The following is a 12,054-nucleotide window of genomic DNA, read 5'->3' on the forward strand; positions in this document are numbered from 1 at the left end:
TCCAAGCATAGTTTTCAACTCAGATCCAGTGCTCATGCAATACTCCTTATCTACTGTGTCTTTGTTTCCAATAGCAATAACACATGAACTTAATAAATATGCTGTCTTTTTAAGAATTTACGGTCGGGTGTGGTGGCTCAAGCCTATACTCCCAGCACTTTGGGAGGCCAAGGTCTGTGGATCACAAGGTCAGAAGATGGAGACGATCCTGGCCAACACGGTGAAACCCCGACTCTACTAAAAATTAGCCGGGTATGGTGGTGGGCACCTGTAGTCCCAGCTACTCAGGAAGCTGAGGCAGGAGAATCGCTTGAACCCGGGAGGCGGAGCTTGCAGTGAGCCGAGATCGTGCCACTGCACTCCAGCCTGGGTGACAGGGCGAGACTCTGTCTCAAAAAAAAAAAAAAAAAAAGAATTTACATTGGTGTATGAATACAAAGACTGAAAAAATGTATTAGAAAGATTTATTATTTAAGAGATTCATTATGAAAGAGTTTAAATATGAAAGAAATTCATCAAAGGGTTTGTATATTTCAAGAAGAAAGTATGACATCATCTAAATACATATTGCTGGGTTAAATATTCTTTCCACCATAAGAGAAAAATCTATTCTCTTTTGTCCTAGTGTAAAACTCAGGACTTCTGCAGCTGCCCTTGTCTCTGAAATCTTCAACTTGCAGAGTTCTAAACACACACCCTACCTCACACCCCACGCAGTTACTCTGCGTCCACACAGCTGAGCTCTGTGTGTTTTAACAGTCATAGGATTTAATTACCACATCTTGTTCTGAAAGCTGAGATTTATAATTTCAATAAAGATTTCAACAGAAAGATGGTAAATAACTCAGAGGAACTTATTTATTTATTTATTTATTTTTGAGACACAGTCTGGCTTTGTCGCCCAGGCTGAAGTGCTGTGGCATGATCCCGGCTCACTGCAACCTCCACCTCCCGGGTTCAAGCGATTCTCCTGCCTCAGCCTCCCGAGTAGCTGGGATTATAGGTGTGCACAACCACACCCAGCTAAATTTTGTATTTTTAGTAGAGACGGGGTTTCATTATGTTGGCCAGGCTGGTCTCAAACTCCTGACCTCATGATCCACCCACCTCAGCCTCCCAAAGTGTTGGGATTACAGGTGTAAGCCACCACGCCCGGCCCTTCATAACAATGTATTATCTCTGAAATTCCCTTTCACAACAGTGACCTTGATTTGAAATTTTAAAAAAATCAGGCAAATCTATTAAGATATAATAAATAGAGAGTGGCTAAGAAACTCTGAAAACAGATATCAAGGACCTCAACTTCTAATGTTTATTTTTAATCATTTTAACAAATAAGCAAACTTTACAAGATTAGTGAGGTTCTGGTGTAAGAGATGTTTTCATAGTCCCTGAATGAGCCTCACCAGGCTTCCCACTAAAATGTGGCAGGGATGAGAGTGCACCTCACCACTGCAGAGCCCAGAATGGAGGCTCCCCTAGTTTCAGAACTTGGGAACAGTTTCCACCACTTGGCCTATCAAACACTCAGACTCAATGAAGAAACCCAATTGGTGGCTCAGACCTAGAAATGGAGTAAATCTGTTGGCCTGAATAAAAGGTCAAAAACATTTTGTACATGTCTGCAGAAAACTGGACTTTTCATCTATTGCAGGCATTGTTTTTACAGGCAAACAGAATGAGGTCTTCTATCTCTTTCTGTTTCCCCAGACACCTCCCCAAATCCTAAGTCCTCTCTCATACATTATATGTTCTATTTTTCACCCCTCTGTAACAGTCTAAAAAAGGATAACTGTGGAAGTAAGATAATGCCTATTAGGGAACATCTGGAAAATCAGAAAACTACAAAAAAGAAATAATCACCAGAGACACCTGATGTTCCTATTTCAGCCACTTCACTGCTCGGGCTGTTCAGCAGCCCTTGCGCTGCCTGCCAGTTCTGGTCTCCTTGCTTGCCCATCCTCCTAGACGACCGTTCCGTATTCTTCTCTTATTCAAACCTCAACATTTCCTCTCTGCTTCTCACTCTCACCTGAAGGCTTCAATTTTGATACAGGAGAAATCAGAATGGATCATTCTACAAAATGCAGCAGGCACAGACATCTGTCTCCATGCACTCGGCTTTCCCTGGCTTCTAGGGCCAACCCCCCACTTTGTACTGGATCCTGTTCCCCACTCCTCCTAAAGGACTTTGCTCCTGGAATTATTTCCATTCCTGCCTCATTAGTTTTTTCTTCTTTTTTAATGAGTCATTGCCAAGAAAAATGATGTACCGTAACATCTTGAATTGCAACTTCTAAAAACTTCCCATTTTCCTGATTCCTCAGTATCTCTACAAACAAGCTGTGGGCACCTTTCCCAGATGACCAGGTACACCAATGTGACAAGGCTGGTCCCTGTCACAAGTCCCCCTTCTTACTCTCCCCTGACCATGGCCTAGTGACATTTAAGCACACCCATGATATCCCCTCCTGCCTTTGCTGGTGAACCCCACCCTGATGCCCAATAAGGGTAACTGTCCACAGGAACCTGTTTGCCCTTGGCTCCCCACCTGCTTGGCTGAGCCCGCTTTGTTGGTGCTCTGCCCAGGTGATCCCCACAAGGTATGTCGTGCCTCCCTCTTTGGAACCTGTGAGTACAGTAAATCCTTTATTCATATGCCTTCCCAAAGTCATCTCCACAGCCTATTGGAATGTTCCTTAAGGACTCCACAAGGGGTACTTAATCCCTCATTTATAACACATACCTCCATCTTAAAAAAGCCCTCTCTTGAACCTGTATCTTTCTCAGCTACTACCCAATTTTAAGCTTCCCATTTCCAAGAAAAGTGACTGCAAGAGTTGTTCACATTCGCTCGGCGCCGCCCGCCCGGCCTCCCGAGAGGCTTTGGGGACTAGACCTTGGACGCGGATCCTTCCAGCGCTGCGCCCCGGGTCTGCATCCTCCTCCTCCGGGAAGCCCCGCCCCCAGGCCTAGCCCTCCTCCTCCTCTGGGAACCTCCCCCCTCAGGCCTAGCCCTCCTCCTCCTCCGGGAAGCCCCCCTAAGCCTCGCCTTCCTCCTCCGGGAAGCCCCCCAGGCCTTGCCCTCGTCCTCTGAGAAGCCCCACCTAGGCCTCGCCTTCCTCCTCCTCCAGGAAGCCCCCCCAGGCCTCGCCCTCCTCCTCCTCCGAGAAGCCCCCCAGGCCTCGCCCTCCTCCTCTCCCGGGAAGCCCCCTAAGCCTCGCCCTCCTCCTCCTCCGAGAAACCCCTAGGCCTCGCCCTCCTCCTCCCCCAGAAGCCATCCCCGCTCCCCCGACCCCCTAACTTGCTCTCCTCTGGGAAGCCACGGGGCCCCGGTGCACCAAGAGGCCGAATGGGACCCTGAGGGCACTCTGGCCGCGTCCGGCTCACGCGCCCCCTTCAGCGCCAGGTCTGGGGGATCCGCGCCTGCGCCCCGGGGCGACCCTGTCGCGGGGTCTGGCTGTCCAGGCCCGGGGGCCCGGGTGTCAGGCTGGTAGCAGGAAGGAAGGCGCTGGCCTCCCCACCGCATTCGCCCCATGCGGCGTCCCCGGGAAAGGCCGCAGAAGAGGCGCCGTCGGCACCCAAAGGGCCATGGACGGGGAGCGCCCTGCGTGGTGTTCGTGGCGCTGGCCTGGTCTCTGCGGATCAGAGGCGAAGCCAGCCTGGCTCTCGGGTCGCCCGTCTTCTGTCGAGCTGGCAACATCAGTGCGGTTCCCACCGCCATTTGCGCTTTCTCCTGGACCCTCTGCTTTTTATTGTTGATTTGTGGGAGCTCTTTGCATAGGGGCCCCGCCGTCGCAGCCTGGCGTTCTCGCAGGCGCATGCCCTCGGAACGCCGGGTGGGCTGCGGGCGCGACGGGACTCCTGGTCTCTCTTCCCCAGGACGGACACCGGCGTCGCCGCGTCCTACGAAGCCGGGCGCCGAGCGGGAGGCGCATCTGGGCCCCACCGGGGCTGCCCGCACCGAGCACGCGAACGCGCCCTCCCGCCCGGAGGCCGCGGGCGCTGCGGTCGGAGAACCGTAGAGCCACTCGGCTGGGCGTGGCGCGGCGGGGCGGGTAACGGGGCGGGACCTGGGCGACGGAAGTGCGTAGCCGCGCGGCATTCTGGGGCCGGAAGTGGGGCGCCAGCTGCGGGCTGGTGTCATGGCAGGTGGGCGGCGCCGCAGGAGGCGCCTGGCGGAGCTGACGGTGGACGAGTTCCTAGCTTCGGGCTTTGACTCTAAGTCCGAATACTCTCCAGAAGCGGAGACGCGGGAGGCACGCGAGGCTGCCCGGAGTCCGGATGAGCCGGGCGGGAGCCCCTCGGCCAGCCGGCGTAAAGGCCGTGCCTCTGAGCACAAAGATCAGCTCTCTCGGCTGAAGGACAGAGACGCCGAGTTCTACAAGTTCCTGCAGGAGAATGACCAGAGCCAGCTAAACTTCAGCGACTCGGACAGCTCTGAGGAGGAAGAGGAGCCGTTCCACTCCCTGCCATATGTGCTGGAGGAAGCCAGTGAGGATGAGGATGGAGCAGAGGAGGGGGAAGATGGGGACAGAGTCCCCAGAGGGCTGAAGGGGAAGAAGAATTGTGTTCCTGTGACCCTCGCCATGGTTGAGAGATGGAAGCAGGCAGCAAAGCAACGCCTCACTCCAAAGCTGTTCCATGAAGTGGTACAGGCGTTCCGAGCAGCTGTGGCCACCACCCAAGGGGACCAGGAAAGTGCTGAGGCCAACAAATTCCAGGTCACGGACAGTGCTGTGTTCAATGCTCTGGTCGTGTTCAATGCTCTGGTCACCTTCTGCATCAGAGACCTTACTGGCTGTCTCCAGAAGCTGCTGATTGGAAAGGTGGCAAAGGACAGCAGCAGGATGCTGCAGCCGTCCAGCAGCCTGCTCTGGGGGAAGCTCCGTGTGGACATCAAGGCGTACCTGGGCTCGGTCATACAGCTGGTGTCCTGTGTGGCAGAGACAGTGGTGTTGGCGGCCGTGCTATGGCACATCAGCGTGCTGGTGCCCTGCTTCCTGACCTTCCCCAAGCAGTGCTCAAGAGAATGGTGGTCGTATGGAGCACAGGGAAGGAGTCCCTGCGGGTGCTGGCTTTCCTGGTCCTCAGCAGAGTCTGCCGGCACAAGAAGGACACTTTCCTTGGCCCCATCCTCAAGCAAATGTACATCATGTATGTGAGGAACTGCAAGTTCACCTCGCCTGGTGCCCTCCCCTTCATCAGTTCCATGCAGCGGACCCTGACGGAGCTGCTGGCCTTGGAGCCGGGTGTGGCCTACCAGCACGCCTTCCTCTACATCCGCCAGCTCGCCATACACCTGCACAACGCCATGACCACCCGCAAGAAGGAAACGTCTGTGTACAACTGGCAGTACATGCACTGCCTCTTCCTGTGGTGCCGGGTCCTGAGCACTGTGGGCCCCAGCGAAGCCCTCCAGCCCTTGGTCTACTCCCTTGCCCAGGTCATCATTGGCTGTATCAAGCTCATCCCCACTGCCCGCTTCTACCCACTGCGAATGCACTGCATCCGTGCCCTGACGCTGCTCTCGGGGAGCTCGGGGGCCTTCATCCCAGTGCTGCCTTTCATCCTGGAGATGTTCCAGCAGGTCGACTTCAGCAGGAAGCCGGGGCGCATGAGCTCCAAGCCCATCAACTTCTCCGTGATCCTGAAGCTGTCCAATGTCAACCTGCAGGAGAAGGCGTACCAGGACGGCCTGGTGGAGCAGCTGTACGACCTCACCCTGGAGTACCTGCACAGCCAGGCACACTGCATCGGCTTCCCGGAGCTGGCGCTGCCTGTGGTCCTGCAGCTGAAGTTGTTCCTCCGGGAGCGCAAGGTGGCCAACTACTGCCGGCAGGTGCAGCAGCTGCTGGGGAAGGTTCAGGAGAACTCGGAACACATCTGCAGCCGCCGCCAGAGGGTTTCCTTTGGTGTCTCTGCAGGCAGTGGAAGCCTGGCAGAAGCTGACCCTGGAAGAGGGGACCCCCCTGACCTTGTACTACAGCCACTGGCGCAAGCTGCATGACCGGGAGATCCAGCTGGAGATCAGTGGCAAAGAGCGGCTGGAAGACCTGAACTTCCCTGAGATCAAACGAAGGAAGGTGGCTGACAGGAAGGATGAGGACAGGAAGCAATTTAAAGACCTCTTTGACCTGAACAGCTGTGAAGAGGACGACACCGAGGGATTCTTGGAAAGAGGGATACTGGGGCCCCTGAGCACTCGGCATGGGGTGGAAGAGGATAAAGAGGACAAGGAGGAGGGCGAGGAGGACAGCAGCAACTTGGAGGATGGAGACCCAGACGCAGAGGCGGGGCTGGCCCCTGGGGAGCTGCAGCGGCTGGCCCAGGGGCCGGAGGATGAGCTGGAGGATCTGCAGCTCTCAGAGGAGGACTGAGGCAGCCCATCTGGGGGGCCTGTAGGGGCTGCCGGGCTGGTGGCCAGTGTTTCCACCTCTCAGGCCTAGAGGCTGGCGTCTGTGCAGTTGGGGGAGGCAGTAGACAGGGGACAGGCTTTAATATTTATTTTTCAGCATGAACGACCAAACTTACCGAGAGCTAGGCTGGGCTGGCGTGGCTGCTGAAGCCCCACAGTTGTGGGCTGTTGAAGTCAGCTCCGCGGGGGAGCTGACCTTGACGTCAGCTGACGGAGACCAGTCCCAGTTCCAGGGGGAGGCCTGCAGGTCCCTGGCCCCTTCCACCACCTCTGCCCTCCGTCTGCAGACCTTGTCCGTCCGCACCAGGCTCTGCATTCACTCCCCCAAGTCTTTGGAAATTTGTTCCTTTCCTTTCAAGTCACATTTTCCTTTAAACTTTTTTGTTTTGCGTCTAAAACTGAAAGAAAGAAAGCTGTGGGAGGCAGGGCCATTGTAAAAAAAAAAAAAAAAAAAAGAGTTGTTCACATTCAACATTTTTTCTTTTCTTCTCTCTTCAACCCACTCCAGCATGGGCAACAAGCACACCCAAGTTGCTAAATCCAATGGTTGATGTTCAGTCCTGAGGTAATTTGACCTTGCAGCATCTTTTTGAGTCTGTGGGTCATGCTGTCCATGTCACACAATTTACTCCCTTGGCTTTTATGACCTCCTCACACTTGCTTGGTTTTCGGTCTACTTCATTGGCTCTTTCTTTGGCTGGATCTTTATGTTCCCAACTAGAACCCGTTGCATAATTTGCAGGGTGCAGTGCAGAATGAAAATGCAGGGCTCTTATTCAAAAATTATTAAAAGTTTCAAGATAGTGAGAGCAGAGCACTCAACAAAGCATGGGGCCCTTCTGAGCAAGAGGTCTTGCGTGATTGCAAAGATCTTGTGCCCATGAAGCCCTGTTCCCATCCTCAGAATGCAGCAAAGCACCTGCTCAGTGCTCATCTATAAATGATCTTGTCCAACCCAATTGGCTTTAGATGCCACATTCAGCAACAAGCTTCACATCTTACCTTCAACACCAATCTCTCCATTTTACTTCAGATTCAAATATTCAACTATCTATTCTCCATGTGCACTGAATATATGAAATGCACTCAAACTTAATATGTCCAAAATGGAACTTTCATTTCCCACCCAAATTCTTCCCATAGTTTTCCCCATGTCAATAAATACCAACTCCATTTTTCCAGTTATTCAGGCCAAAATCATTATAGCCATCCTGAACTTCGCACTTTTCTCTCACATTCTACATTCAATCCACCAAATCCTGCAAGCTCTACCTTCAAAATATTTCCTAAATCCGACCAGTCACGACCTTCACCACTTGCAACCCCGGTACAACTTTCTGTCCTGAGTCACCTAGTCTTCTAGTGTCATAGGCCTCTTGGCTTTCACTTCTGCCCTTCACAGTCTATTTGCCACACAGCCATCAGTTATCTTTTTAAAATGTAAGTCATAGTTTGTCACTTTCAAATCGCAAAGTTGAAACCTTTGAATGCCTTCCAACCTCACTCATAATTTTTTGTTAAGTCTTCAAAATATGGCCTAAAAAACTCTATGTAGCCAGCTTCTGGCTACCTCTCCACCCTCAGCTCCTATCACTACCCCCTCAGTCACTTCATCAGCCACATTGGCTTTCTTGCTGCTCCTCACTTTCCTTTGCACTGTGGTTTTCTCTGTCTGGAACACTCTTCACTCAGATATTTAAATGACTCGCTTTCTCAATTCAATCAGACTTCAATTTACAGGGCACCTCCTCAGAAAGCCTTCTGTACTGAACATAAATCTCAGCTTCCCTTGACTGTTTCCTTTGTTTAAAAGGTGGCACCCCTCTCCTGAACGAGGACCATGCCACACCACTGCCATCTTTGTTGAGTCCCCAGAACTGTCAGTAATCTGCAAAAGTCCCATTAGTTCCAAGTCTCCACTCACTTCTGATGAAATGTCCCATAACAGAGAATGCGATCTGCCTTCCTGGTCCACCGTCTAAAAGCCCAACAATGTTTTCCTAAAGAACAGGGCATTCGCTCTTCATGAGCAATAGAAAACAGGAGCCACAAAGAGCCAAGCAGCAAAGGGCAGAGAATAGATCTAGATAGATGATGAAGAATAACCAGTATACACTCTCTGTCCTCTTAATCTGTTTTGTTGCAGACTGATGTTTTACTCTATGTCTATGCATATGCACATATGCATGTACGTATACATGCGTGCAACTTGATGGCAAAGATCCCATCTTGTATGTTCCTTGTCATATCACCAGCTCCTACGGCAGTAACTGTCACATAGTAAATATTCAGCAAATATTCTTTTGAGAGAACGAATGAAGATGCAATACTATTAAATACATTCACAATTTCTCACCTTGTTCTTTTCACTCAACACAATCACTTTGGGTTGTTTTTTGGTGTGTGTGACAAGTATTCTTCTAAAAGAAATTATGATTTCTTTAAGGAATCTAGTCTAAATACACATGAAAGGAAAGGGACTACTGAACTAAATTATTTCAGCAAGACATTTAGAGAGTATTAGTGATTTTATAATAAATAATGCTATCATGTGATTTAAGTGTTCAAAGAAAAAAGTGGATGCTTTTCCTATTTGTAGTTCAAAAAAAAGATTTCATCAATCACAACGTGAGTCAAACCCAAGGATGATTATCGATGACTAGAACTATTAGAAAAAGCATTCGACAGGTAGGCAGTAAAGAAGGGTGGGAAGTTCAGAGTAATCACATAAACAAAGAAAGGAACTATCTAGAAGGCAGACCCATCAGGGGAGGGAAATTTCAAGGGAAGAAGACTGGACCCTGTTACCTGGGAAATAAGTAAGGCCACAGCACGGGGAGAAAAAAAGACTTGATACTTTTCAGAGAACAAAAAATCTGTCTTTGTTAATGCAAATGCATGTAATGCACAGTAGTTTGAGAGGTGCTAATGGGTTTTTTTATTGCTTTTCTTTGTCAATTACAAATTGCTCATTCCTGAAGATGAAACTAAAATGAGCCATTGAGTAAATTACTTCCAAAACAAGCTGGTGGAAAACGTGTAAACCTGTAAGTGAGTAATATTAAATCCTTACATGTTTTATAGGCATTTAGACTCCAGGCACACGCAATGTTTTATACCGATAATGACTATACATTTTTTAACTTATTACATAAAATTATATATGTTATAGTCCAGGCACAGTGGCTCACGCTTCTAGTCCCAGCACTTTAGGAGGTCAAGGCAGGAGGATCACTTAAGGCTGTGAGTTTGAGATCAGCCTTGGCAACATAGCAAGACCCTATCTCTACAACAAATAAATAAATAAATTAGCCAGGAGTGGTGGTACACACCTGTAGTCCCAGCTACTTGGGAGGCTGAGATAAGAGGAACACTTGAGCCCAGGACTTCAAGGTTGCAGTTAGCTATAATCGTGCCATTGTACTCTAGCCTAGGTGACAGGGCAAGATCCTGTCTCTTAAAAAAAAAAAAAAAAGTACTGGTAGGGCACAATGGCTCAAGCCTGTAATCCAATCACTTTGGGAGACCTCATGATCTCTTGATCTCTTCAACATGGTGAAACCCCGTCTCAACTAAAAATATAAAAATTAGCTAGGCATGGTGACACACACCTGTAGTCCCAGCTACTTGGGAGGCTGAGGCAGGAGAATCGCTTGAACCTGGGAGGTGGAGGTTGCAGTGAGCCGAGATCACACCGTTGCACTCCAGCCTGGCGACAGAGTGAGACTCCGTCTCAAAAAAAACAACAAAAAAAAGGCATTATTGAAAGTTTAGAACATAGCAATAAACAAAAGAAGAAAATATAAATCAAAACAAAAACAGCCACTGTAAATGTTTTAGTTTATAATATTTCAGATTTTTTCTACTAAGTAAATATATGATTATGAAAAGTTGTACTCATTACTGCTTAATATCCTGTTTTGTTGTTCATGAAATAATTTTTCATGAATATTTAACAGTGTAATTATATTATTGTCTCTTTTAAGCCAATACTATAACATAAATAACACATTATTAAAAATTAATCCATCACTGCAGTTTAAAAGTTAAAGAAAAAAAAACAAAATTCAACTTGGTCATAGCATATTAGTATTTTAATTTGAGACTGGATGAGTTTGCTAATATTTTACTCATAATGTAATTGTAGGTTTCTTATTGTGGGATATTTGTCAGGTTTTTATTTCAAGGCTAAGCTAATTTATAAAATAAACTAGGATATTATACATTATACATAAATTAGGATATTATACATTATACATAAATTAGGATTGTTTTCTATGCTTTAAAACAATGTTTTTCAAATTATCTGTGTGAAATCCTTTTTTGCAGTTTCCCATCCATTATGTACTGCTATTATGGTTAAAACAAAACAAAAAGAAATTAGTAGAAAATTAAAATAGTAAGCCACAAACAATCAAAATAAAAGTTTAATTTCTTTATGATTACATTCAATAGACACTAAATTTCTCTACCAAATTGCTGTAAAAGTCTCTAAATGCTGACTGTCATTGCCATATTTATCATGAACTTGTAACAAATAGTTCATGACCACCAGAAGCCCATGGACCACATTTTGAATAGTGCTGCTTGAAAGAAGACGCTTAATATGTTTAATGATACACATTTATCAGCAAAAAAATGCTGTTGAAATATTACCACAATATGTGAATTTTCATTTATTTACAAATCATATCTCTAATTAAAATTATTTTAATAATATTCTGGATGCTTAGATTTTAAGTGCTCAGCATCCTAAAGACCTCATCTTTTTTTTTTTTTTTTTTTGAGATGGAGTCTCATGTCTCGCTCTGTCACCCAGGCTGGAGTGCAGTGGCCTGATCTCCGCTCACTGCAAGCTCCGCCTCCCGGGTTCATGCCATTCTCCCGCCTCAGCCTCCCAAGTAGCTGGGACTACAGGTGCCTTCCACCATGCCCGGCTAATTTTTTGTATTTTCAGTAGAGACGGGGTTTCACCATGTTAGCCAGGATGGTCTCGATCTCCTGACCTTCTGATCCGCCCGCTTCAGCATCCCAAAGTGCTGGGATTACAGGCCTGAGCCACCGCGCCCGGCCGACCTCATCCTTTTATCAGTTAATTCGCAGGTACAATATCCAATTAAGATAAGATTTGCTATTGCTGATACTGTGTATGGATCTCTATTTTCCAGTAACATTTCTGATCACTTAAAATTACTGAGCCAATGCTTTTCATATCTGATTAGATCATCCTTGTGTTTGACTCATAATGTGATTGATGAAATCTTTTCCTTGAACTACAAATAGCAAAAGCATCATCTAGTAGTGCTCTGTCTTCAATCTGTGGCTTCTCTTCAGGAATATAATCATGCCACTTGTTCATTTTGTGAGGATTCCTTTCGTGACAACTATATGGTATAACCCACATAATTGGAAATTGCCATGCAGTGTTTAAAGAGCAAACACACTGGTGAGGGGACCAGGTGCCACCTACACTTTCTTTCAAGAATATCTGTTGGAGGCAACCTACAGAATGGGAGAAAATTTTTGCAATCTACTCATCTGACAAAGGGCTAATATCCAGAATCTACAATGAACTCAAACAAATTTACAAGAAAAAAACAGCCCCATCAAAAAGTGGGTGAAGGATATGAACAGAC

At 47.7% G+C, this 12,054-nt stretch overlaps 1 pseudogene, besides 2 other annotated features; it reads left to right on the forward strand.

The window, feature by feature from the left end:
• Positions 3,889–3,978: a silencer, noted in NCBI's record as "silent region_11955". NCBI's record gives its function as "represses an Ori minimal core promoter by ATAC-STARR-seq in GM12878 lymphoblastoid cells {active_cell/tissue: GM12878}" and the evidence as "EXISTENCE:reporter gene assay evidence [ECO:0000049][PMID:35858748]".
• On the forward strand, positions 4,130–6,853 carry NOC2LP1 (NOC2 like nucleolar associated transcriptional repressor pseudogene 1; annotated as a pseudogene).
• Positions 4,159–4,238: an enhancer, noted in NCBI's record as "active region_16524". NCBI's record gives its function as "activates an Ori minimal core promoter by ATAC-STARR-seq in GM12878 lymphoblastoid cells {active_cell/tissue: GM12878}" and the evidence as "EXISTENCE:reporter gene assay evidence [ECO:0000049][PMID:35858748]".

This window comes from Homo sapiens, chromosome 2 (genome assembly GCF_000001405.40).
Source record: "Homo sapiens chromosome 2, GRCh38.p14 Primary Assembly".
Taxonomy (NCBI): Eukaryota; Metazoa; Chordata; class Mammalia; order Primates; family Hominidae; genus Homo; species Homo sapiens.